Below are 26,796 nucleotides of genomic sequence, written 5' to 3'. Positions count from 1 at the left end.
TGGGTTCCAGGTGAATTGAGAGACGTCTGCATTCTGAGCTCTTCTCTTTAGTCAGTTGCCAGTGGTCTGGATAATTTGTATTCCCATTTCTGGATTGCCTTCTGGCTTGAGAAAGGTTTTGTATCTTATGCCCCTTCTTCATTCTGCAGTGGCTCTGGGAGTGCCAGAGCGGAGCAGCAGCAGCTGGGCCACTCTGTTCACTTAAATTCCTGTCTGCCTTGCTGTTTGGCAAGAGGGATCACCCAAAGAATGTTCAGGGGAGCAGCCTTCCCTAAATGCCTTATGTGATCATGCTTCCTTGTCTCCCTCAGTAAATGTTTTATTTATTAAAATTATTTATTTGATCACATGAACATGTATTATCAACCTGTGGCTGTGCTGACTAGATCCAAAGTGGGCTCAGGTTTGTTCTGCTTACTGTAGGAGTAGGTCCTTGGTGAAGAGTGTCTCCTTTCCTCCCATCCATTCTGTCTGAAAGAGCAGTGCCCAGTTTCTTGGAAGACCCTTCTGACCTAATCATTCCTATTTTATGGCTCTCTTATTAGATCTCCTGTTGCAGTGACCATCGATGCAAGTGGCTTCCAGCTTCTATGAACACCGTCTCCACCCAGTCCCTGACCCTGGCGATCGATTCTTGTCATGGCACTGTGGTTGCTCTCCGCTATGCTTGGACCACGTGGCCTTGTGAATATAAGCAGTGTCCCCTATACCACCCCAGTAGTGCCCTGCCAGCCCCTCCCTTCATTGCTTTCATTACAGACCAGGGTCCTGGACATCAGAGCAATGTTGCTAAATGACTGTTTCAGTATGATCAGAACTTAGATATAAGGATGGGTCCTTCAGATTTTAGCATTTAGGAGTTTCAATAATAACCATTGCTTTTAAAGGAAATTAATAGAAAGCCTCATTGAATGGCTTTCAGCTAGCACATGGCTGTTTCTATATTCTGATGAGCCCAGGCTTATAGGTAACTTGAAATGCTTGCTTTTTGTTCCCTAGTTGGTCTAAGGGTCTGTATTGGACTAATTCTGAACTACAGACAAATTGGACCTCAATGTCATTTACTTCCCTCATATTAATGGGAGTGAAATGTCTAATACTTTTGCCCCTTTTTATCCAGAGTTGTGGGAATCTCAGGATTGGAAGAGATTTTAAAGGCCACATAGGCCAGCTAGTGTTCATGTGTTCTTTATAAAATTTCTCCCATCCAAGTACTAACCAGGCCCGACCCTGCTTAGCTTCCGAGATCAGATGAGATCAGGCGCGTTCAGGGTGATATGGCCGTAGACGTCTTTACAAAATTCCTGACAGGTGGTTACTGAATCTCTCTATGAACTTTCCATTCAAAACTTTCCAAGTTTTTCCTTATGTGGAACCGAAATCTTTCTTTCTCCCGTGAAACTTTACTACTATCAGATAATTGAAGACAGATCTCTTTGTATTCTCTTCAAGCCCAAACCAATTCTGTTCCTTCAATCTAAATAGTGGTAATATGAATGTTTAAGAAATGAAATAAGAAACATGTGCAGGCACTTTGGAAGGTGCTAAGTGACTGCCCTAAGGAATGAAAAGCAAGGGCCAGGTGGGAGTAGCCCAGCGAAGGCACTTGGGCTGCCAGGAACAGGAGGCGTGGGAAACTCTGGCTTAGGAAAACATGAACACAGGGGCAACAGAGGCAAACTGTTGTTCGAGTTAAATATAAATCTCAGGCTCTTTAAAGGTAAAAGGTTTAAGGATAATCCATTTGGAAGAAGAAAAGAGTGAGGCTGAAAGTAAAGCCACATGACAAGCATATAAAAAAAAATGCAGATGATACAAATATGAAAGAGGCCTTCAGTGTTTGTTTATTAAGAATCTTAATGCAGTTTACTGATGGATTAAAAACAGCTAACATTGTCTGAAAATTATGTTACCTATAAGAAGTTGGAAATAAATAAAAGCATAATCACTAGTGATGTGTATGTATTTATATCCACTTGCAAACTGTCCTTGAAGCATGTGAAAAGGAGTAAGAATACTATCTATGGGTAGCTTTCCTCCCCTTAATGTGAAAAATGAGAACTAAAGCAAAAAGCATCACTCACTGTACATATACAATGTATTTTACGTAGTGTAAAAAATATGGTTTAGATAGTGAATATATTAATGAAATCATATGTAAATTTATTTTTAGTGGCTGAATAATTTAAAACATTATGTGGAATTCACTATGTTTCCCCCAATTTAGGAACTTTTTACTGTGTGAAAATGAAATTTATAATACTCTGTAGGGTGAATGATGGTTTTTGCTTTAGTTCTACCCCTCTGTAGAGTTCCAAGGGGTTCTGGTGTAGCTCCAAACAGCAGGAATAACTTTGTCAGTGCCAAGATTTTATTTAGTTAAAAAACAAAAAATCTACACACTTTACAAGGAACGTTGGCTCCCCTGAGGACTTCCTAGCATTCAACTCGTTCAGTTAACCCCTATTGCCCATGCTTTGACCTCTCATGCATCTGGCCCCATAGAAACCATGAACCTTGTAACAGATTGATGCCTGAGAAAAAGTCAATCTACCCGTCCACTCCTCCACTCCCAATACACATACCCCCATGGGCTGTTCTAATTCGGGGGCAGCCAGAGGTAGCCAAGAACTCTAAGTCCAGATTCCTTTCACCTCCAGGAACCTAGAGTACATAGTGTGAAAAATACGGTTCAGGCAATGATTATGTTAATGACGCCATGCACATTCATTTTTAGTGGCTGAGTAATTTAAAACATGATGTGGGAATTCACTGCATTTCCCCAAATGTAAGAACTTTTTAGTTTTAAAATGAAATTTATAGTCACTGTAGAAAATTTGGACACTAAAGTATAAGCAAGTAAAAATCACCCCCAAATTCATCATTCAGAGAAACACTATTTTGCTGAACCATTCACTTGACTTGAGTTATATAATTTTATACAGTACATATTATTTTGTAATCTGTGTTTTTGACTTACTTACTTTACCAAAATAATTTTCTTATGTAAATAATAGAATATAGATTTAGAGTGTTTCAGTTTGTGGAAGCCTCATTTTATTTAACCAATTTCCTATTAATGGACATATAGATTTTTAACAATTTTCTACTATTAAAATAATACTGTAATGAATATCACATGCAAACATCATACCACACTCGTCCAGTTATTTCTTAGGGTTCTTAACATGGAAGAGGATAAATATATATTTAAAATTTAGATATCTACAGCTTAACCCTCCCAAAGGATTAAACAACTTACATTCTCACCAAGGTAGTCCTTTTTTTGCCCTCACCCTCATTGACACTGGATGTTGTCAAATTTAAAAAAAATCCTTAACAATCTGATAGATGAAAAGATAGTTTAAGTATACTAAGGCAGTGTTTTTCAAGGTGTTTTTGTTTTTGTTTTTGAGTTGGAGTTTTGCTCTGTTGCCCAGGCTGGAGTGCAGTGGCGCGGTCTCGGCTCACTGCAACCTCTGCCTCCCGGGTTCAAGCGATTCTTCCTGCCTCAGCCTCCCGAGTAGCTGGGACTACAGGCGCGTGCCACCACGCCTGGCTAATTTTTTGTATTTTTATTAGAGACCGACTTAGCCAGGATGGTCTCGATCTCCTGACCTCTTGATCCACCCGCCTCAGCCTCCCAAAGTGCTGGGATTACAGGCGTGAGCCACCGTGCCCAGCTTTTCAAGTTTCTTAAATCCATGATCCATAGTAAAAACATTTTACACATATCTTCATACAAGTATATGTATATGTGGTATACGTACACACTATAGTTGTATATGCATTATAGCTGAAAAACCAGTTCAACCTTTCTACATGTGGTATGTTCCAAAAATTTTAAATGTCTTTCTAAAATGAGGCTCTTTTAATACGGGTATTACTCAGGCTGTAATAGTGGGAAAATATTTGTTATATGATAAAAGCAGCATATATCATTTCTGTGTAAATGCCAGTATGCTCAAGCCATTTATGCAGAGAAAAAAAGAAAAACACTGCATTAACATTTTAAGCAGTCCCCTTCCCGATTTGCTATTATACAAAGTTTGTTTCTTTTACATTGTAAAGTGTATACAACTTATAAAAAGACTATACTCAAAATCATAAAATACCAGTTAACTTAGCTTCTCAGTTTACAGTGGCCAGTGTGGTGTGCTCTAAACACTGCTGCCTGATCCCTCCCTCTGCTGGTCAGATTTATTACTATAAAGTACCAATCCCATTTGTGTTGTCCTCAATTGGCAATTATGAATGGCAGTGCATTAACCATTCAATTCTCACCACTCCATCCCCATTCTTCTACTTCTGGGTCCTTTTGTCCCTCCCTTTCCAGACAGCCCTTGGTAACCTGCTGCTGGGTAACTAAGGCATCCCACAGGTAGTGTTGAGGTGTTAGGTGATAGAGTAAACCTCTACCTTAATGCTATTAACAGGGTCCAAAAATCCAGTTGCATGGAACATGGAGTTATATTATTACATGGCTAATGAAAAGACAGGACTAAGTCTGTTATAGAGTATGGGACTAACCCCCAATTATATGTGAATTTGTGTTATCATATGGTTTCAGTGTACTGAGCTAAAAAGCACATTATCTGAGGTGCAATACAAAGGTTAAAGAGGTTAAAGATCCCCTTGAAGGATGTGCAAAATGTGAAGAAAAAGATGAACAGTGTACCTTGGACTGGACTTTCCATCTTGAGTTTAAGCAGAACATTGGATTTTGATGATACTGACATGAAAATTAAGCAGCAGCCTGGGTTGCAGGGGCTGGGACTTGATATTCCTTGAATTAGGATCACAATCAAGAGTAGAAGTTTGTCAGAATCTCCCTATCTCCCTCGTTAGTCAGCTGCTGCTACTACAGACTTAATGTTTATATGTCCCCAAAATTCATGTTAAATCCTAACCCCTAATGTGATGGTATTGGGAGGTGGGGCCTTTGGGAGGTGATTAGGTCATGAGAGCAGACCTCTCATGAACCGGCTTAGTGATCTTATAAAAGGGACCCCGGAGAGCTGCCTTCCTCTTCTACCACGTGAGGACACTGCAGGAAGACAGCTGTCTAAGAACTAGGAAGTGGGCCCTCACCAGACATTGAATCTGCGCTCCTTGAACTTGGACTTCCCAGCATCCAGAACTGTGAGAAATAAATTCATGTTATTTATAAACCAACCTGTCTATGGTATTTGTTGTAGCAGCCTGCAGCTCTCTATCACTCTTGTTTATAAGAGGCTGAAGTTTACTTTACCTCAGGCAGAGCTAAGCAAAAAAGATTACATCCCGATTACAAGATGAAAGTAAACAGAATTGACAAGAGAAATTTATTACTAAAAATAAAGCAGCTGAAGGTTTTCCCAGGGAAAACCATCACCACAGGACCTTCCATGATGAAATACGTTAGTATCTTCTTTACTTCTGAATTGCTGCCTTCTTTCATATACCCAAAATTTTAGTTTAAGTTAAATTAATCACGACAAAAACGATGTGGCATCTGATCCCTTCTTGTTCAATCTGAAGACTGAATTGGGCTACCCTGTGATGGAGACTTCAAGTGCTGCAGGTGAGTATCTACCAAGGGTTCATGTGTCAGGTACATGGGCTGGTAAGAAGACACAAAGGCTGCAGGCTGAAGCTCTGGGAGGTCCAAGGATCCTGGAGAAAACAATTCCTTAAGTTCCACTGCTGCTCGGGAGTCTGGGCAGACTGTTTTGGTCAGACATATACATGTCCTTTCAATCAATTCCTTAACACCCTTGCATTTGTCAGCTCAATTTTGCCTTTGTTAAGATAGGACAGATACTTTTACAATGAAAACTGGTTGAAACATTAAGTGACTTGCCTAGGGTTATATAGTATATTAGGCAAAGAGTGAGAATTTCAATTCCATTTTTTAACCCAGAGTTTTCCCTATATGACCCCAAAGCCTGAACCCTTGATCACTCATTTGTGGGAGGAACTCATGGAACACAGGCAGGGCCAAGGCCTTGACTTGACCCCACTGACTTCACTTGAAATGTTATTCCCTGCACAGTAAACTTTCCCCTGGTGTTCTGCTCCAGTCTTGCTTAGGTTACAGAATGAGATACCTTAGTTTCTGGGGTACCCTGCCTTACTATGATCGCAGGTGCTCCCCATGACATCTGTGAGTAATCTAGGAAGCTATGCAGGCCGCAGGTCCCCCTCTAACTCAGCACTCCGCAAGGCTGATTCAATGAAAGCTTTTATCACTCAATGCATAGATATTTAGGGTACTCGGCTATGTGTGAAGATGGGAAGGTAGCCTAAACACAGTCAATTTTCAAACCAGAAAGGTAAAGTTAAAGATACCTGGCAGAAGGGGATCATTCTGATCTTCATCAAAGATCTGTCTCTGAAAGGCTTCAAAGCTCATAGCTGCATCATTCTCCGGCAGCCCCTCAGGTAGCTGCCCATCTCCAGGTTTGCACACATCAAATTTCACCCACTGGTAACTGCAGAATCAAGGGAAATCACCCTTGAGAGTTATCTGCTAGACATAAATACCCATTCCTATCACTAAAGGGATCAGGTAATTTTTCTTTATATTCCGCCCATATATATCTAAAACACATATTTGCTAACAAAAACCTAAAAGAAATAAGCAGGCCTCTTTAGTGACAAATTAGTCTGCTAGATTTCCCACCCCTTTTGCTGTCATGGTACATACAGAAAATAGTAATAATCAGCGAACAGTGGAGTCCTGGCTCTTGCTTACCTGTCCAGAGGGCTAAGGGGGCCAATACTGAGCCCTACTGGTCGAGAAGCAGGCAGGCTTTGGACACAGAAGGTCAGTGAACAAAGTAGGAACTGCCAGTCCCTGGCCGGATGATCACTGAGCTTTTCTCAAGGGAATGAATTTGATCACACTTACTTGATGCATTTTCGAGCTCCTGGACAGCTCTGGATCAGGTTGTGGATGGCTGGATGAGAAAATCCAAAAAAGTCAGCTCCAGCTGGAAGCAGGTTAGGCATTAGTTTCCCCCTAAACAGGAGAGGGATAATTTTAGTTTGAGAGCTTAGCGGGAGATGAAGATGGATTTAAGAACAGAATAGTGGTATGAACAAACAGGATAAGCTTTCTTGACTTTGATAATGTGGAGGCTCTAGTTGGCACAATGTCAGGAGGATCCAGGATAGGTTTCTATAAAATAAAGTATCTCCACCCATTAAAAGCAAGAGAAAAGGTTTCACTGTACCAACAGTGATCTTTTAGCCTGTTTTCAAGCTTTTGGTCAACTTACATAGTAGTGCTTATAGTCCTGAGCAGTTCTGCATGACAAGCATCTGCAGAAGAGCTGACAATGGCATTCTGGGGGTCATCTTCAGGAACAATTTCAAACTGAGAAAGACAAACGAGCAATGAGATCAATCCTCAAGAAGGAAGGAGAGAGGGGCATACTACTCTGTAAATATTTCTTTACTCTGGAACGTGAAGCTGACGTATACCATCTTCAGAAGGGACACACATACTTTCCTATAGGGCTGCTAAAAATTGAAACAAATCCAAGTACCTAGAGAAAGTCCTTTGACTGTTTCAGTTCTACCCTTCTTGGTTGACAGCTTTCCAAAAGTGAGCGTTTAATTTGTTGTGTACCTTTCCAATCCACTTATTTATATCCTTAAGTACAAATACAAATGGTATTTTAAAAACAAATGAGATCACTCTCCATGTAATCTTTTAAGTCAATTTTACAAGATCTAGGAGAAACAGGCTGACTGCAAACTGCCATTTCATTGTATTTACTTTCATTTTGAACGTTAAAATATCTTGGTTATGTTAATAAAAAGAAACTGTTGCATCGAAATTACACTAATTCTGAGGAATTTTTGCCAAGAAAATATTTTTGTAACAAATGTAACAAGTTAACTAGCTGATTTAATTATTTGGCCAGTTTTCTATAAAGCGCAATGATTTTTTTGCCAGGAAAATATTTCTGTAACAAGTTCTATCTAGCCAATTAAATTATTTGACTAGTTTTAAAGTTCATTTAAACAGTTTCTAGTTCTTCAATGTTTACTTCAGTCAAATTATCCTGAACAGGATTAATTTATTTTCTGTATAATTTTTTAGAATGATATCGAGCACTACTGATTTCTAAAAAAAGTCAAAGCAATTTTTACTGAGTATAGTTTCCACTACTGTTAGTTTTCTTCTGTGGTTATTATTTCACTGGATTCAATTTACCGTGTCAAATTTTAGAGATCTGTCAATTTTGTCAGTAATAAATTCTCTTGTGAGTGGTTTCAATCAATGGTGGTTTTCTTATTTCAACCAATGGCATACCTTGCCAGGTTAAGATTCTAATGTTTTATATTTATTTCTCAGCTAATAAATGAAAAAACCATGAGCAATTAATTTCTTTTCTTTTTTCTTTTTCTTTTTTTTTTGAGATGGAATCTTGCTCTGTCGCCCAGGCTGGAGTGCAGTGGCGTGATCTTGGCTCACTGCAAGCTCCGCCTCCCGGGTTCACGCCATTCTCCTGCCTCAGCCTCCCCAGCAGCTGGGACTACAGGCGCACGCCACCAGGCCCGGCTAATTTTGCTGTGTGTAATTAATTTCAAATAGTCCAGGATTGCTCTACTATTTAGTATTTGTCATGTCAATTTCAATTACTTTTTTTGTACTGAAATTTTTACCCTATTTGAGTAAAGAGCATTAAAGATAGAAATGTTATACTTTAGTCTTGAAGATACCTCCTTGTTAGTACTAATGTATAAATCTACCTCATTCTTCTAATTGCTGTACATACAACGGTGGATATATTTTACTTAACCATTTTCTCATTGATAGGTATTTAGGCTATTTCTAATTTCTTGCTATTGCAAATACTGCCACAGTGAACATTGTTACATGTTACTTTGTTCACATTTGCACATTTCTCTAGGTGCAAATGTGTACCTAGTGCAGTCTAGATACTAGACTATCTAGACATATTCTGGGTCAAATGATACACATACTAAAATTGTTGATACTGCCAAGTTGCCCTCCCAGAAGACTACCAATTTTCACTCCTACTAACGTGTACTTGTTTTCCTCCACCCCGGCCAGCACTGGATATTATTAATCCCTCTGATATGTGCCTATGAGCAAAATAAGATCTCAGTTTTGTTTTATTTGCATTTCCCCACTTACTGATGAGGCCCACACTTTACCATCTGCACTGTTTCTGTGAAATGCCTGTGGGTTTTTTTTTTTTTTTTTTAATATTGCTTTTTCCTACTCTACAGGAGCACTTTATCTGGTATTAATCCTTTGTCATACGTTTTCTTCCTGTTTATTGCTTGTGTTTTAACTCTGATCATGGTGTCTTTTGCCATTCAGAAGAGTTTACATTTTTAATAGTTAAATATGTTATTATGTTCCATTATGGCTTCTAAGTTTCATGTCTTGCTAAAGAAAGCCTTTTCATCTCACCCTAAGATTATAAAAAATTCTTTTACATTTTCCTTTAACATATTTATAGAATAAAATATTCAATAAAGCTAAAGTAATAAAAAGTCATATTGACATGTATAGACAAAAAGATGAATAAAAAGGAATCATCTGGAAAGAGATACAAGAATTACATATATTTAGTCTGTGTGTGTGTGTGTGTGTGTGTGTGTGTGTATATATATATATATATATATATATATATATATATATATATATATATATATAAAACAGCTACTTGACGTTAGTTGGAACAAAATTTGAAGCTAGATTCCTAGCTCACACACCTAAAAATAATGTCCAGTTAGGTTAATGACCTAAAAAAGAAAATTAAAAACTCCACAGATTCTTCTTTTTCAAAAATGTTCTAGCATTTTGTTTTTCAGAGAAAATTAAGAATCGGCTTTTCAATTTCTACTAGGATTTTGATTAGATTTGCATTGCATTTAAAGATGTATTATAAATATGGTATACCGTTACAATAATGAGTCTTTCTAAAGAAACTATTGCATAATTGAGGTCACGTAAGCTCTCAACTATGCCTAACAATGCTCTGATAGGCGTGATGCAATATTATCTATAAGAAGTCAAGCTGTCTCAGGGTTCTCCCAGCTTCTGCTCAAAGGTTCCTTACCTTGCCTCTACTTCCTTCTACCTTACTTTCTAGTGATCTGTAACTTCCTCAGTGAAGCTTAGAACTCCGAAAATGGTCTATTTTTTTGTTTTTCCCTAACAATCAGGAGATGATGGTTGGGGAAAATGTACTGTCTCAAATCTTAGCACTGAGAAGGATGAAAAAAGGTATTTAGTAAGACTAGGATTTAAGACTCTCAGGTCCTTAAGAGTATTTGCAGCCAGAAACTAATATGCAATTTCTTTGCTAACTCCATCTTGGTCCAACTTGAAATGGCAGTGTATCAAACTAATCTTCCCTCTATTTTGGCCTGTACCTCACATAAGTAGGCTTGATCAAGCCTCACATAGTCACAAAGTCAGCAGTTGAAGTAGCATGGTTCAAGAGAAAAGAGCATCAGTTTGAGAATGAGACAGATAATAGATTCACATCCAAACTCAACCACTTATTAGCAGAGGTGTGACTTAGGGCCAGCCACTTTTCTGCATCTTGGGATTACCCAAATGGTGATTATACATATCTACCTTGTAAGGTATCAGAACAGGTAATACATATCCTAGCACAGAGAAGGTTCTAAAGACAAACAGTGGTTATTATTAGAGGGGGTACCTGAGGCTGCACACCACCATCCTTGATCTGACAGGTATATAGACACTTCTGGTCTGGGCACTTCATGCTGGCATATATTCGAGTACTGCAATAGCCCACGGGGTAGATGGCACTCTCATCATGAAAGCCAGGTCGGTCGGTGATGATCTATAAAAAACATTCCCCCAACCTGGGATTGAGGTCACTGAAGAATTTAGAAGTCCAGTTTCCTGTGGTAGCCTTTAGAACCACTTTGGGGCTGCAAAGAGTGACAAATCACACAAAGACAGAGAGTAGGCTGTGTAGCAGACAACACTGACCTGGTTTTGCAGGGACTGGAGATACGCTGGGGTTGGTATGGATCAGCAAGAGGCTGCTGCTAATGGGAACAGGGAGGGAAGGCTCAACCCCATTCCCGTATTTCCCTGATTCTCCTCTCTATATATCGCTGGTCTCACTCACCTCCCCCAGGCTATATACTGTTAGACCCCCTAGTCCGATGGGGAACACAGGCCGTCCTGAGGGATCCAGGGCAATGGGCTGAACCAGCTTGCGAGCACCTCCCGCCATTTTCTTTTTCTTGCATGTTTTCTTCAGAACTGAAACGCAAATCTGGGGTCACCCACTTTAGGCCCCTTCCAATGTTGAAGGGAAGGGATAAATTTGCACGTGAATGGTGAGGGCAATAAGCCAATCCTGGTTTTATATACTTACTGAATGGGCATATGGGGCTTTCGCCCAAAGCCCTGAGTAGCTTTCTAACCTGCCCAGATTAGTGCTTAGGAGCCAAAGGCCTTATACTTTTTAAGGCCTCTTATTTCATCTGTAAGATCAGAAATTTACCAAGCCAGCAGTGTGCTCCAAAGGCCACCTAGCCCATTTCCCTGCCTCTAGGAAAGACTAAATGGAATGCAACCCAGAGAGTTGGGGGAAGGGGGAAGTCTCAGTCTGCTCCCCTTGCATTTAACGAAGTCTAGCTCGAATTTCTCCACCCAAAGTGGCTCTAATACATTTGACATTTGTTTTCTCAAGGGCTCCTAGGGCTCCTTAAGAACCAGATGAGACTCTAAGTACATCTGCAGCTGTGTGTGTCTGTCAGTTAGTACCAGGTCTAACTGTCATTAGTAGGTGAGTCACTGGGGCAACTGATATCATCTCCCCAAAGTACCTTCCAGTTTGTTGTTCTCTTTGCCTTTTTCTTTTTTCTCCTTCTTAGTTTTCTTCCCAAATGGTTCCTCAGCCCCAGTGCTGGGCCCTGAAATAGGCCCAGCTCCCTGTATAGTTCCCACAGAGCTGGCCACACCATAAGTCAGGGGCAAACTGGAACTGTGGGAAGGAGCTGCAGCCTGTACTTCCCCTTCAGTTAGAGCCTGAAGCTGGAGGAGCTTCTTTAGCAAGTACCTGAGATCAGGAAGGAAAGGAGCAGAGAAATGAACTTCCGTATTGTCTCAATTCAGTATTTTACTCAAGTACTGGGAAAAGCCAGAATTATATACAAAGATTACTATACTCATAAAAGAAAGGTTCTTATTAGGCCCTATGAATCATAAAGCCCTGGAGGATAATCAATACTTCAAGAGGCCAAGGATAAGAACTGTAGCTTATCTCTTGCATCTGGACGGTTCCTCTACCTTGATGTTGGACGGTGTTAGGCTTCTGAAAGGCACATTATTTACACATGTATATATACCCATTGTGCTTTGCACAGAATAGTACGTACAGAATAAATATTTGTAGAACGAGAGGCAGTTGCTTTTATCACTTGGCTTTTATAATTGGGCCATAAGATTAAATAATCTTAGTAAGATTATTTATTAGATGTGGCAAGATGGCTTTTTCAGAAAGATGAGTAGAGGAGCTGTCTCATCGCCATGGCCCAACATAACTTGGGTGTGCAGGCACCAATGCCTCAGGCTGTAAGTTTCTCTGTGCTTGATCAAGTGGCCAAGGGGCTGTGCGATACGCATCAATCCCACTGGGAAAAAAAGTCTCCAGAGCAGTAACACCATTATCAATCACCAAATCAATCACCAAAAAGGTGATGCTGAACACAAAATGAAGCCAGCTCACCTTCTTTCTTCTTTTGCTTTAAGAAATTTTTCCTCAAGACGAGCAATTTCATCACAAATAGCAGCATTTTCCTTTAAGTAAAAATGTGAATATAATAACATAAAATGAATAAAAAAATCACATTATTATGCTGGGAAGAGGATCCATATTTCAAACCAAAAAAGCTTGTATTACTGAGAAGAAGGAGCTATTCGACCGTGTGACAAACTATAAATAAATCCATAGATAAAGGTAGTCAGGTTCTACTATGGACAGGGTATAGCTATGTAATTTATTATCCAATCCGGGACATCTTTGAGTGAAAAGGGGGTACTATTAATGCTTATGCCAGAACAATACGGTGAACCAGGACTGTCCTGGGCAAGCCAAGATTAATGGTCACCCTAATTAGTATAGCCTTTGGCAAAGAAAAAGGCATACTGCTTAAATCCTTATATGCTTAAATTAAATACTATAAATATGAAAACTGTCTATTCCCAAGTGCCTCAACTCTTGAAAAACTTACAAAGCCAGTCTAACCCAAATAGAGAAAAACTGGACAGAACAAAATCAAATTTAGTGTGTAAAATTCTTAAACTTCACAATCTACTTATACGAATTCAAGTATTATCTTTTTTCTTTTTTTTTTTTTTTTTTTTGTAAATGATGACTCAATCTATCTCCCAAGCACCAATCCTGAAGGGAATGCTGAATCTGAATGCCCCCATAGGTGGAACTTCAAACTCTCAATGTTCAAAACAACATCGCTTTTTCTTCACAAAATCTTCATTATGTATTTGATGGAACCAATATCCTTGAAATAACATAAATTCCAAGCTTTAGGTACCTTTGACGTATAGGGGATAAAAGAAAGGGAACAGTCAATCAGATGCTAAGTTCTCTTAGTTTTACTTTTCTTGTTTCTCTCCAGTGCAAATAGCAAGCAATACACATAGCAAGTGCTGAATAAGTGCTTTTGGAATGTGTATTCTAATTTCTGAACCTTTCCTTATGCTTCCAAAAATGCTGAGAGACGTTCAAGCTTTTGGTAGAGAGAAGAGATGAACTGTTGACTTGGATGTGGGGGGACATTTGAGGACTCCACCCCTATTTCCAAGCACTGAGGCAAGCCAAACTATTCTAATATAAAGTTATGGCTGGCAAGCTATATTAAGTTTATTCACTCAATAAATCCAGTGCTTCTACAATAAAAGAAAGGAAGAAACACTTGGAACACTCAAAGGTTAGAGGGGGGAAATTACTGACAGTTTCATGTACCTCTTTGGGCAAAGGGTCAGTTATGGGGATTTGAGGTGCTCAGAAAATAGTCTGTGTACTGGAAGTCATAAAACGGAATCAGGTTTATCTAAGTTGGAGTCAGGGCTCTGACACAGTACCCTTGGGCAAATCATCTCTCTGGGCTTCAGTGTTCTCATTTTACAAATAATGCCTAATTCTCAGGGCTGTATCTCGAGAATCAAACACATTTCCTAGAGTCCTGCAGTAACAACGATGACTAAAATTTATTGGTATGTCTTTTACGCACCAAGCACTTTTCTTTACTCATTTAATATTCATTATTCTGCAAGACAGTTACTAGCTCATTTACAGATGAGGACACAGAGAAATTACGTAATTTGTCCAAGGACACAAGGCTAACAAGTAGTAACGTATACGGAAAAGCCAACACTGTATTAATACTGTCACACTGGGAAGGGGGAACAGCTTGGGGAAAGATTTTGTGAGGGAGTCTCCAGGAGGGGACCGGCTGAACGTGGGTCAGACTCACAAACACCGTGGCCTTGGCCGCTTTGCGCAGCCGCAGGTACTTCAGCCGGTACTTCTCATTCTGGCTCTTCTTCGGGAGCTTTTTCATCCTGGCCTTGCTGGACTGCAGCGGAGCCCGCGGCGAGGAAGCGAGGCCGTCCAGCAGGCTCATGGTCCAGCCCCGCTACGGGGGCCCCAGGACGCTGCCGGCATCGGATCCTAAGTCGGGGAGCGGGCGGGAGCGCTGGCTTTGTCTGTTCCGGGCTAGCGGAATCGGGCCTCTAGGAATCTAGCTCTCCGGGACGTTCCCAGGGCTGACCGCAGGGCCAGAGACACCCGCAACCGAACGGGCTCCCGGCGCCTCCCAGCACTTCCGTGTCTGTCTTGGAAGTAAGCCCTTCCCGGAAGTTACGTCCCGGTGTCGGCAGTGTGTAACTTCCGGGGCAGGGAGAGTAGGGTGGTCTGGGCGGTGCGATCGTGGGCACCGGGAGGAAAGAGACAGCTGGGGGCTAGTGCTGGATGAGGAGAGGAGGGAGGGCCGGCGGCCGTGTGCTTAGCTGAAGGGTACTATAGTTGAACCAACGAACTAACAAGAAGCTTACCAATGCGAGCTCTCATTCACGCTCCCCCGCTGGGCCACTGCGTTTTAATACGTTTTTCATGCTTCGTGCAGACAGGCTTTCCCAGACTGTAGGACAAAGTGAGCCCAAGTGCTGGGACTCTGCTTCTTTCCCTGCTTCGTTCCTTTCTGCAGCTCACAGAAATGTGTTTGCAGGGCCTCCTAATGCTATCATCTTCCCAGGAGCTGGGAACACAGTAGTGAACAGGAAGAAAGGCCTTGGCTCTTTCTAGTAGGGAAGATGAGAGATTTAACACGCAGTTTTAATACTAGCACTAAGTAGGCACTCAGTAAATGTTTGTCTAGTGAAACCAGAAGTGTATTTCTGTACATAATATGTACATGTATATGGTTCTAACTTTACAACCAAGGTCTATTTAAAATTAGGGAAGATAGAAAAATCTTTAGGGTGCGGTATTGGTAAGTGACCCAGGCTGGATGGCAGAAGGCTTGCTTGCATCTTCTTCCAGCGATGCCAATAACTAGTTCAGTAACTCTCTAGTTTTTTCTCTCAAAAAAAAAATTTGCTGTTCTGCTGTATTTTGTCCTTGCGGGCTTTGGGGTCTGACTTTATTTGTATTATTTATTTTCATATACATGTATCACATCTAGGGGGAAGAAAAGTGCTATCCTTTGTCCTAGTTTGCAGGCTGTTTTGGCCAATGGACTTTAGTGGGATTTGCATGAAGATATTTTTTGTTTCTTCTTCATTGGACACATTTCCTTACACTTACAAAACATTTCATTCGAACTTTAGAAATTTAGAAAATATAGTACAAGAAAGGTTTAAAAATCCATAATGCTACCACTTGGAATGAACTACTTTTACCATGTTAGTATATGTGTCTAATATTTTATGCATTTTTGTATAGGTTAGACAATACTGAAAATAAAGTTTTCTTTTTGTTCATTTACCATTGTATCATTTCAGTTTCACAAATGTTAGTATAGCTTCCTTATAAGCATAATTTTAAGTGGCTGGTTAATATTCCAGTTATGGCTATATTATATTTTGCATAATTATTTCCATGTTCTTTGACTTTTTGGTCAATTCCATTAAAAGCATATCTTTGCGTCCAAAGCTTTTTCCATATAGGACTGTTCAGAGGCTGGATATGTGTGCTCCACAAAGGTCATGCCACTGAGCAACTCATTCAGTCCTTATTTGTTTAGAAGAATATTTACCTAGTGCCTATTATGATACCACCTTTAAGAACCTTAATTTAAGAAGGAAAGACAGACAAGTAAATTGGCAATGTTAATATGGTATAATAAGTTTGTTTCAGAGGTAGGTTTTATTTTATTTGGCAGCACTCAGGGAAGGAGGGAGGAGATAGGAAAGGTTTCTTAAAGGAGATACATCTGGGCAGACTCTGAAGGAGAGGTAGTGGTTGGTTGGCCCAGTGAAGAACAAAGGGGGGCATGCTGGATGGTGGAGACAGCATATGCAAAGGCTCAGTATGGGAACTGCAAGTAGTTGATCAGTGTGAAAGATGTGTGTAGAGAGAAGCAAGAAGAGAGACTGAAGCAGTAAGTAGGGTTTTTTGGGTCATGAAAAGTCTTGTGTACCAACTGAAGAGTTGGACTTTGACCCAGTGACAATAGGAAACCATCTATCAGCTCTTTGCTTGTGTTAGGTAAACTTACCTGAATCTGTCAGAAGCAACACAACTTTTCTACTTAACTATACGAAGAAGGGTCTAAATGGCCTATGCAAAAATTCTTTAAAGAAATGCATAATGTGTAGCTCTAAAAAGAAATATAAAATGGCAGACAGCATGATATTGTGTCTGAGTGTGGTCTTTGAAGTCAGACCAAAGTTCCATTAACTACAGGCATAGGAATGGGAGTTAGAAGCTAAAATAGGGTAATAAATCAGAAGAGAAAGAAGTTCAATAGCACTTTACTGTCTACCCATTTGTAAGTGCTTGCTATTCAGTGATTAGCTGTAAGGGAAGGCATAGTATCCTCTGGAGTATTAAAAGCATACCTGGCTCCGTTAACAGTTGTGAAGAAGTCCATAGCCCATAATCCCAGCCCCTGGTGAAATGAGTTCCTGGTTTAGATGGTGAAAAGTGTATCTGGGCACCTGAAGGCTCCACTCACGGCTGAGACATGGCCCCAGCCTTGTTCTACTATGTCCTTACATCCTAAGAGCAGATTACAAATTGAAGCCATCATCTCCCAGCACTTTGGAGGCTACAGAGGACTTGGACAAGGTTGATAACTTCTACAAAGCAAGCTGGGTAAATTCCTAGGATTTCAGGCCACACCAAAGGGTTTCCAGGGGTTTACATCTTTATTAATCTTTTGCCAGATTGCCTCACTTGCTCTCTGGGGTAAGCTGAATGTGCGTTCAAGAAAGGATATGGAATTGCCTCCATAAACGGACTTTAGAATCTTCTTTCCTTGCAGCATGTCTAGACTGTATTTCTTTTTATTTATACTATCCTCATAGAATGTTCTAGACTTAATTTTTTAGCTCTTTGACTCTTCGGCTCCAGCTTTCACATTTATTTCCATGTCTTGGTTATGTCTTCTCACTTTTAGGATAACATGATAAAAGATATATGATTCAGTTAAATCCAAGCTTAGCAGTTTTAAAATGTGTAATTTTTTGGTGTGTATGTGTATTAGTGTGCATGTCTTATGAGGAAGGAGAGAGACTTTCCACAAGCTTTCTTGCTCCATGGTTTCTTAACTATGGGTGTTCATCACATGCCGAGTTGGTGAGGTGTTTGGGTTTTGAGGGTTCTAAGCCAGCCAATAAAGTCATAAAATCAACTACTGTGTCAATATTGTGCTTCTGGGTGGTTGTATCCTTCAACACACATAAGACACTCAGCCAGCTAAAAGAGATGAGCTCAGAGATGTTAGCTCGGAGGAAAAGAAGGATCACATTGAGGTCATTGATGGGACATCCTAGCATCTTTCTGCTGAGGAGATCAAAAGCTGGGAGCATCTCATAGACAGATAAAAGTCGTTTGTCCCACCGACATAGCCGTGTGAGGTTGTATATTATCACTGGAACCAATATGGTGTATATTGCTACACTGGAGAGGCTAACAATCTGGAAAATGGACAGTGATGTCAGCCTGCATGTGATCAGATTGGGGACATGGGTCTCATCACTTAGCAGCCCTGTCTTGATGGAGCAGCTGAATTCTTCCTGGAAGAAGACATCCAGATGGAAATGACCAAGGTATAGGTAAGTGGCGGAGGTGAAGATGAGCAAGAGGGAGTTCCTCAGGAGGTAGGTAGCCACTAGCGAATGTGAACGCTGCTTACATGCCAGGTACCGCTCTAGCAAAGGGAATTCAAAGTATCGTTCTTTCCGAGCCCTGGGCAGTGGAAGGAAGGAGGCAAGGTTAGTAGTGACCATTTAGAACCATACTCTAAGAGAGGCATGTGACAAAGTAACAGATCTGTTTTCAACATGGCATTCTTGGTTCCCATGAAAATCTGTCTTCCCGAGCATAACCATGCTTCTCCCCCAAACTGAGGCATATGAGTATATCTTGATTCTCCAAGTACTTACTGCAATGTGATAAACCCAGTGAATGATCAGTGAGTAATGATTTATTACACTGGATTTCTGCCAAGCAAGGCGGACTAAAGTTCTAAGCTGAAGTAGGATCTTTAGGTAGCAATAGGCTTATGAAATTAGCACTGGATTGGGGGTTTAGCTAAGTGCATTCTGGGCCGGGCATGGTGGCTTATGCTCATAATCCCAGCGGCCGAGGTGGAAGGGTCCCATAAGCCCAGGGGTTTGAGACTACCATGGGAAACACAGTAAGACCTCATCTCTATGAAAAAATACAAAAATTAGCTGGGTGTAGTAGTGTACACCTATGGTTCCAGCTACTTGGGAGGCTGAGGAGGGAGGATTGCTTGTGCCCAGGAGACTGAGGCTGCAATGAGCCAAGATCGTGCCACTGCACTCCAGCCTGGGCAACAGAGTGAGACCCTGTCTCCCCCACCCCCCCACTCCAAAAAAAGTACATTCTGGTTCTTGGCCTGTGTACTCTGTGTATGATCTTTGGGACAATTCATTCATCTTATGTAAATAATTTGGCTCACAAATGTTTGTCGAGAGCTTTGGTGTTCAGGTACATGTAAGCCAGTTTGTGCTCTGAAGAAGCTTAGAGACTGGCTTGTGGGGAAGGGGCAGATAAGACATGCAAATACGGAATAAAAATGACACTTGGTTTGTTGCTAAAATAGTGGACACAAACCACAGTGGCTGTAAAAGTTAGGAGAGGGAGGTAACAGTGTGGCCTTCAATGTTCAGAAACCCTTATGGAAAATATTGGCTGAAATCTGGGCTTCAAAAGATAGAGAGGATTTTTTTTCAGAAGATAGAGTATGTGCATAAATATGGGACAATATAATTCAAATGTTAGCGCAATTGTCTCCTTGGGCCATCTAGCCTGGCCACTCTGTGTGAAGCTACACCACTCTCCATCCCTCCAGCTTCCTCTTGCCCCACTTCCCACTTTACTTTTTCTTTTCTTCATACCACTTATTATCTCAGAACGTAGATTTCATTTCTGTGTTCTGTTTATTTGTCTGTGTTTCCTTAATAGAATGTAAGCCCCACATGGGTAGGTACAGCTTTGTCTCTCCTACCCCCATCCCCCAACACATACAAGTGAATGTATCAGAAGCACCCAGGACAATGCCTGTATGCAGGTGGAGGAATGATTACATAGATAAATAATTTGTTCAGGGGAAAAGGAGGAGGCTGCCTAAGTGTGGTGGAAGGTTTCTGTCACCTGGTAGTTAGAATTTTGAAAAAGTAGATGGTGACAGTGTGTTGAGGGCCTTGCACACATATCTGGGAAAGTTTGGGTATTCTTTGGTAGGCATGAAGGGAGCTATTTAAGGTTTCTGAAGGCAGTAGTGTATGAAAGTGGAATTCTAGACAGATGAATCCCTTTGTGGGCTCAGTGTGGTCATCTGTACACTAGAGGAAGAGTCCTTTCTCTCTCCCTTTACAGAAACAATAGAAAGTTAATGAGATGATGTGTTAAGCACTTTGCCTTCTTGAGAAGGATGGCATGGAAGATCATTTAAAGATGACTATGCAAAGTTATCATTTTAATGCTTGACTGAATTTCTCAGAAAAAGGTGGAAGAGACAACTCACTTCTCCAGCTCATTCCAGAACACATAGGGGTCGGAACTCTTCTGCCGGATCTTCAGCATGTGCTGCACGAGGCGGATGGAGCGATTATAAGATTTGTCCAGTTCGCTGATGATGAACAGCAGATCGGAGCTGAGGGCTGGCACAGCTGCATACTGCCACAGCAGCACCGGCAGGTACATGAGCAAGGCCAGGGCCAGCAGGGAGTAGGGGAGGGCCTGCAGGGCGAGAGCAGCTGAGGAGGGAGGCCGGGGCTGCTGAGACCCCGAGTGACAGTGCTGACTGAGGGGCTCTCCTTTCCCCTGTTCCTGCCTCAGCAGGGGAAGGCTGTTTGGGGAATGGGCTAGCCCAGGCTCAGCCCCTGAGGCACCCTACTGACCTGGCTGAGTACAGGCGGGCCTGCTTCAGAAGGAATGTGCACCTTCATGCTCCCCTGGTTCACTTTTCTGATCCAGGGTCTGTGTGGGGTCCCAGGGAGAAGAGAGAGAGAGAATAAGGAGAGAGAGAGAGAATAAGGAGAGAGAGAGAGAGGAGAGGTGGGAAGGAGAGGGGAAGGGAGGGGAGGGGAGGACAGGAGAGGGATATATAGAGAGAGAGAGAGAAAAGGAGAGAGAGAGCCATCTGCCTACCTCCCTCAAAGTAGTCTGGGCAGCTAGCTAGCTAGGGATCATGGCCAGCAGAGGCCATGTTGTCCTAAGGGAGAGAAAATCCCATTTCTTCCCTGTCACCTTCCTGGACTTGTCTGATGCACAGTGGTCTTTTCTGATTTTTGGATTCTTGGTAATGCCAAACTACACTATCAGACACTGTCTTGGGATTCTTTGCGGGGCTCTTTCAGGCATGTAAATCTATAAGTGACTTTCAGGAATCCATAAGCCTTGTCTGCTCAATGACTGCATCATTAGCTATCTGCAATAAGGGACTGATATGGGTTGAATTGTGTCCATGTCCACCTCCCTCCATTCATACCTTGAAGTCCTAATTCTCAGTACCTCAGAATGAAACCTTATTTGGAAATGGGGTTGTTGTGGATGCAACTAGTTAATTCAAAATGAGGTCATACTGGAATAGGGTGGGCTTCCAATTCATTATGACTGATGTTCTTTTTTTTCTTTTTTAAAAAAAAAGCCAGGTAAAGAAGCAGAAATGCATACAGGGAGACTGCCCAGGGCACTGGATCTACAGGCCAAGGAGTGGGAACCTGGCAGACGTTTCCCTTGCAGCCTTCAGAGGAGCCAATACTGATGACACCTTGATCTTAGACTTCCGGTCTCCAGAACCCTGAGACGATAATTTTGATTGTTGAAGCCACCCAGTTGGTGGTGCTTGGTTTCAGCAGCTCTAGCAAATTAACACAGGCACTTTTCTTCAGGTTTCCTCATCATACTTACCACACCTAGCAGGGTTGGGCCAACTATTTTGCCTACAGTAAAATCTCTACTTGTAAAGATTTTTATTTATTTATTTATTTATTTATTGAGATTGAGTCTCGCTCTCTTGCCCAGGCTGGAGTGCCGTGGTGCGATCTCTGCTCACTGCAAGCTCCGCCTCCTGTGGGTTCAAGCAATTCTCCTGCCTCAGCCTCCCAAGTAGCTGGGATTATAGGTGCTCACTACCACACCCGGCTACTTTTTGTGTTTTTAGTAGAGATGGGGTTTCACCATGTTGGCCAGGCTGGTCTTGAATTCCTGACCTCAAGTGATCTGCCCACCTTGGCCTCCTAAAGTGCTGGGATTACAGGTGTGAGCGACCACGTCCAGCCTGTAAATATTTTTTAAAGCTACATTTTTGCTAGGTGCTTAATATGCATTATTTTATTTGATCTTCACAAGGATGTCATCAGGTAGATACAATTTAGTATCTCTATTTTACAGATAAGGAAACCAAAGCATGAAAAGATTAAGTAACCTGTGCAGGGTTGTACATCAAGTAGGTGGGAGAGCCAGGATTTAGAACTATAGGCTGTCTGATTCTGGAGCTTATTCCCTAAATGATTACTTCACTTATAGCTTCTCCTGAACCAGGGATGGCTTGTTATTTCAGAAGAGAATTTGAAGAAAAAGAGGGAGGATACATAATTGATTGTACCTGGGTAGAAAAGAAAGGTGTGGGGCCGGGCGCAGTGGCTCACACCTGTAATCCCAGCACTTTGGGAGGCTGAGGCAGTTGGATCACAAGGTCAAGAGATCGAGACCATCCTGGCTAACATGGTGAAACCCTGTCTCTACTAAAAATACAAAAATTAGCTGGGCTTGGTGGCGGGTGCCTGTAGTCTCAGCTACTCAGGAGGCTGAGGCAGGATAATCACTTGAACCCAGAAGGCGGAGGTTGCAGTGAGCCAAGATTGCTCCACTGCACTCCAGCCTGGCATCAGAGTAAGACTCTGTCTCAAAAAGAAAAGAAAAGAAAGGTGTGTGTTTGTGTTTTCTGAATTAAACAAGAAAGATATGTTGGGAAAGGCACACCAGGCTCTAGAGAAAATTAGAAACTTTTTGCTGCTAAGAAAGGGCATTTCTTGGCTGGGCACGGTGGCTCACGCCTGTAATCCCAGCACTTTGGGAGGTCGAGGTGGGCGGATCACAAGGTCAGGAGTTCGAGACCAGCCTGACCAACGTGATAAAACCCCATCTCTACTAAAAATACAAAAATTAGCTGGGGATGGTAGCGGGTGCCTGTAGTCCCAGCTACTTGGGAGGCTGAGGCGGGAGAATCGCTTGAACCTGGGAGGTGGAGGTTGCAGTGAGCCAAGATCGTGCCATTGCACTCCAGCCTGGGGGACAAGAGCCAGACTCTGTCTCAAAAAAAAAAAAAAAAAAAAAAAGAAAGGGCGTTTATTGAAAATAAACCCTTCCTTTATACTTAGAGATTCTGTTGTAGTAGGCTGAAGTGGAGCCTGAGAATTTGGGTTTAAAAAGCTTCCTGGTGGCCAGGTGCTATGGCTTATGCCTGTAATCCCAGCACTTTGGGAGGCTGAGGCAGGTGGATCACCTGAGGTCAGGAGTTTGAGACCAACCTGGACAACATGGTGAAACTCCATCTCTACTAAAAATACAAAAATTAGCTAGGCATGGTGGCATGCACCTGTAATCCCAGCTACTCAGGAGGCTGTGACAGGAGAATCGCTTGAACCCGGGAGGCAGAGGTTGCAGTGAGCCAAGATGGCACCATTGCACTCTAGCCTAGGTGACAAGCACAAAACAACTCCGTCTCAAAAAAATAAAGTTTTCTGGCGATCTTGATTATCAGGCAATTTGATCCTTTTCTTATATGTGAATTCCTCTACCACAGAATTTATTTTTCTTTTTTTTTTTTTTTTTTTTTTTTACCATTTAGATCCTTCCTGAACTTCCAGTGATAGAAATCTCATTAACTCTTTCCATTAAGTCTCTGGTTTTGTCTCAGTCCTAGAACTGTGGCAATTTGACGCCTTGAAACTGTCGTGCCTAGAAAATGCTACGAGTGTCTTCTGACTAAACCTCGTGAATCAAACATACATGTTACCACTGCCTCCTCCTAAAACCCCACTAGGATGACAATAAGACATATTTTTATAAGGCCAAAGAGAACAGGAGAGGAGACAAGGGAGCCCAATATTGAAGACTGGAAAGCAGTTGCAAGATAGAAGACACCAGTTCATGGGGAGGATGGGGAGAGGAGGCAGGGACAGGCAGGCTGTTTTCACCACAGAACCAGGAATTGGAGACACCAGGTACTTCTGAAAACAAGAGTGCAGGAGAGGCTGAAAACAGGGATCTTGTTGGAAAAATCTGTGTGAGAAGCAGCCCGCAGATCCTTTCTGTAATGTGAGGCAGTCAAGCGGCTCCTCTTTCCCTCCCCTAACAGAGGCTTGACGGTTACTCCCTGGAGAGATTAAACCAGATTAAACTCTGCTCTTGGGTCCATTGAGGCAGGGGAGCCGTGCTGGGACAGGGGGAGCAGCTGAGTGAACTCTGAATGGTGAGACCCACAGCCGAGTTCCTAGAGGGTTGGCAGCCTGGCTTAATTCCAACTGCACCCCGCCCCTCCCCACAAATTAAGGTTTGAATGACTCTTCTAGGAGGAAACTGATGAGCCCAGGAGAAAGGACTACAGAGTCAATATTTCACATACTAATGAAATAGACCAAAGGGATCACCTTAAACCGAAGTCTGCCTGTTTATGTGCCTCACCCTTAGGCACAAAGCTTCCAATTAGATAAAAGGGAGCAACCAAAGATTGCCAGATTCAGAGAATGCCTGAAACATGAAAGTAAGTGACCAAAATAAATGGGTTAGGGGTGGTGGGGATAGAGGCAAGAGGGAGTAGAATGAAGGGGTTCTGCACCACTCCACTCAGCCGTGAAGCTGGCCTTACAGAGAGTTTGCTTTACCTTGTGGGGCCAGAGAGATTTCATTTTGTCCTGGCCAGGCCCGTCCTGCTTATGGTGAAGCAGTGAGTCCCAGCAGGAGCTGTCCACGTAGGCTGCCTGCCGGATGCTGAAGTTACTGGGAGAGAAGCAGCTGATCGGAGACCCTGCAACAGGAACACAGCTTTGAGGCCGCCTGAGTTGGAGTGGAGGAGTGGGGACTCAGGGGCAATCATCTAACTCTTCCCCAGTTTCTGTTTCTGGCAGGGACTGTCTTCTTCCCACACCTTAGTCTTCTGGGTTGAGCACTGCCATGTCACGGTAGGACAGGGCACTCCTGGACGCATCCCACTGTATGGCCAGGGCTTGCCAGTGCTGACTCAGCCTTTTGGGTCTGGTGGTTCTTTGCTCTCAGAGCACCCCCTGGGCTTTTTGTGCTCCTGTAGTCTGGTACCAGAAGGCTTGCGGTTTGATGGTGATGTCTCTTTCCTGAAATAACTGACATCCTTTAGACTCTAAAATGTTGAGGATGAATTGCCTGGGCTTCCGAGCCTAAATGAAGAGAAAGGGTGGGCAAATTATGCCGAAAGGAAAGTGGACTTGGAGGAGAGTTCCTGCCTTTTTGTTTTCACATCATTCTCCAGAAAGAGGAAGAAGTGGGAGCCATTTCTTCTGCCCTGGTTGTGGATGAATAAAGAGGCGGTGGGAGGCTGGCACACCTGTTTGGGAAATGTAGTAAGCTAATGGCACTGCCAGAAAGGAAAGCCAGAAGTCTCAGTTCTCAGGAAGTCCACATTCTCTTTAACAAAGGTAGTGGATTTGCTGACTGAATCTAGCACCTGAAACCCTAGATGTATGTGTATGCTAATGTCTGTGTGTGCGGCTGGGGTTTGTAGACAGGAAGCAGTGGGTTTATGCAGCATCTCCAATGTGCATGGCCCTCAGGCACTTAACACATGTTCTCAAGTCAATAACCCTGGAGTTGGCGGGTTAGGGGTGGGAAGAGGGCCCAGAGCAAATAAGAGACTTGGCGACAGCCCAGCTAAGATGAAGAGGTCTAAGGCCCTAAAAACATTACCAGGAGTGTCAACTTCTTTCATCCATAATGAAAGCCAAAATAAAGCTTTCATCATTTGAAATGACATAAAATATATGAATACTAAAATTACAACAATTTTTTTTTTTTTTTTTTTTTTTACTGTAACATTTTGGAGATGACTTTCAAAATTTTTTGGTGCCTCTGCTTTGCTGGTGCCCTGAACTCATGCACCATCTGCCTTTTGGATAATCCAGCCCAGCCCGAAGCCATGGAATCCCGTCACTGTGCGCACCATCTCACTTCAGAGCCCATGCAGAGAGTGACATGAGGGGGAGTCTCTCTTGCGCACTGGGTCTTGGAAGCAACTTACCAGAGGAGAACTCCTGGGCGAATGCCAGGGACATCAGCAACAAGGGGGAGCCCACAGCTACGAACTTGACTATCCGGTCCAGGGGCAGTTCCAGACGCAGTCCTTTGAGGCGGGGTCCCCTGCGGTCAGGCAGCAGGGCATCTGAGAGCATGTACTCTGCAGCTGTGTGTGCAAGTGACATGATGCTGCTGAGCTTGGGGGTGCAGAGGTGGCAGCAGGGGTCCTGGGATGGTGGAATGAGGAGACGGCAGCTTCAGGCAGCTGACTTTGGGCAGACAGTGCCTGCCACCCCAGCCTTATGGATATCTCTGCTGGGAGCAGGCGATGGTTCTCTAAATAACTGCCCAGGCCCTGAGCCAGGCCCTGCTAATTAGAGGGAGGCATAGCCTTAGCGGGTCCTTGCTGGAGGAGGGTCGGGCCTTACCTGGGCCTGGTGCCACGCTGCTGTCTGGATTGTCCTAGAGCAGATGGAGGTCTGTGGCTTTATGCTGCCCTGTCATTGATAAAGTATTTTCAGTGGAGAGAAGGAGGGCTGTGGAGCCAGGACCCCCCTCCATGTAATTTGTGTGGAATTTGGGTGAGGATTGCTTAAATGTTTTGAAGGCACTCATTTTGTGGTTTGGAGTGGGAATGGAGTCCCCACGACCCAGCTGGGATTGCTACCCTACATAGTAGTCTTTGTCCCAGTGATGATTTTTGCTCTGGGCCCAGACTCTTTCCCAGAACTTTTCTGTATTTGGTGTTAGATTTCCTTCCCTGACTATGGTCTTTTTTCCAAAATGTTTC

The 26,796-nt window shown here is 42.6% G+C and overlaps 3 protein-coding genes, 1 long non-coding RNA gene and 1 pseudogene across 13 annotated transcripts in view, besides 1 other annotated feature; 2 read left to right on the top strand and 3 right to left on the bottom strand.

Annotated features, from left to right (window-relative positions):
• Positions 1-4,635, top strand: part of SIAE (sialic acid acetylesterase) — a 43,191-nt gene extending 38,556 nt beyond the window's left edge. For all 3 annotated transcript variants that reach the window (NM_001199922.2, NM_170601.5, XM_047427132.1), the window contains one exon: positions 546-4,635. In NM_001199922.2, coding sequence (NP_001186851.1) covers positions 546-797 — 252 coding nt within the window. In that variant the 3' untranslated portion in view covers positions 798-4,635. The remainder of the gene's footprint in view (positions 1-545) is intronic.
• RNA5SP352 (RNA, 5S ribosomal pseudogene 352) lies at positions 1,156-1,289 on the bottom strand (annotated as a pseudogene).
• On the bottom strand, positions 1,822-14,884 carry TBRG1 (transforming growth factor beta regulator 1). Of its 8 annotated transcripts, NM_032811.3 has the most exons (9): positions 14,515-14,884; positions 12,747-12,817; positions 11,845-12,077; positions 11,139-11,275; positions 10,698-10,844; positions 7,263-7,360; positions 6,893-7,003; positions 6,331-6,473; positions 1,822-5,655 (listed from the first exon to the last, which is right to left on the bottom strand). In NM_032811.3, the coding sequence occupies exons 1-9, from the start codon at positions 14,662-14,664 to the stop codon at positions 5,510-5,512; spliced, it is 1,236 nt and encodes a 411-aa protein (NP_116200.2). In that variant the 5' UTR covers positions 14,665-14,884; the 3' UTR covers positions 1,822-5,509. The 8 variants fall into 8 exon arrangements, 6 of the variants coding, with proteins under 6 accessions (NP_116200.2, XP_047283703.1, XP_016873931.1 ...); NR_016021.2 differs by lacking the exon at positions 11,139-11,275; XM_047427747.1 differs by lacking the exon at positions 11,139-11,275 and having other exon boundaries at positions 11,845-12,817.
• Positions 14,547-21,704, top strand: LOC124902779 (uncharacterized). Its single transcript, XR_007062932.1, has 2 exons — positions 14,547-20,432; positions 21,385-21,704. It is a non-coding gene; the product is annotated as an uncharacterized LOC124902779 (long non-coding RNA).
• Positions 14,738-14,807: an enhancer, noted in NCBI's record as "active region_5688". NCBI's record gives its function as "activates an Ori minimal core promoter by ATAC-STARR-seq in GM12878 lymphoblastoid cells {active_cell/tissue: GM12878}" and the evidence as "EXISTENCE:reporter gene assay evidence [ECO:0000049][PMID:35858748]".
• On the bottom strand, positions 17,392-26,320 carry PANX3 (pannexin 3). Its single transcript, NM_052959.3, has 4 exons — positions 26,011-26,320; positions 24,626-24,768; positions 20,260-20,474; positions 17,392-18,452 (listed from the first exon to the last, which is right to left on the bottom strand). The coding sequence occupies exons 1-4, from the start codon at positions 26,189-26,191 to the stop codon at positions 17,813-17,815; spliced, it is 1,179 nt and encodes a 392-aa protein (NP_443191.1). The 5' UTR covers positions 26,192-26,320; the 3' UTR covers positions 17,392-17,812.
• Positions 26,321-26,796: the final 476 nt, after the last annotated feature.

This window comes from Homo sapiens, chromosome 11, assembly GCF_000001405.40.
Source record: "Homo sapiens chromosome 11, GRCh38.p14 Primary Assembly".
NCBI lineage: Eukaryota > Metazoa > Chordata > Mammalia > Primates > Hominidae > Homo > Homo sapiens.
The sequence above is the reverse complement of the archived record's forward strand: the minus strand, read 5'-3'. Positions and strand labels throughout refer to the sequence as shown.

Excerpts from the sequence above, each read along its gene's own strand:
- TBRG1 (NM_032811.3), bottom strand. The coding sequence starts at position 14,664 with ATGAGCCTGCTGGACGGCCTCGCTTCCTCGCCGCGGGCTCCGCTGCAG. Across the intron at positions 7,004-7,262 it reads AGGACTATAAGCACTACTAT|GGGGAAACTAATGCCTAACC; the intron begins GTAAGTTGACCA and ends TCTCCTGTTTAG. Across the intron at positions 5,656-6,330 it reads GAATGATCCCCTTCTGCCAG|GATCCTTGGACCTCCCAGAG; the intron begins GTATCTTTAACT and ends TGTTTTCTCCAG.
- PANX3 (NM_052959.3), bottom strand. The coding sequence starts at position 26,191 with ATGTCACTTGCACACACAGCTGCAGAGTACATGCTCTCAGATGCCCTG. Across the intron at positions 20,475-24,625 it reads AATCTCTCTGGCCCCACAAG|GCCCTCCCCTACTCCCTGCT; the intron begins GTAAAGCAAACT and ends CTCGCCCTGCAG. Across the intron at positions 18,453-20,259 it reads TTCTGGAATGAGCTGGAGAA|GGCTCGGAAAGAACGATACT; the intron begins GTGAGTTGTCTC and ends TCCACTGCCCAG.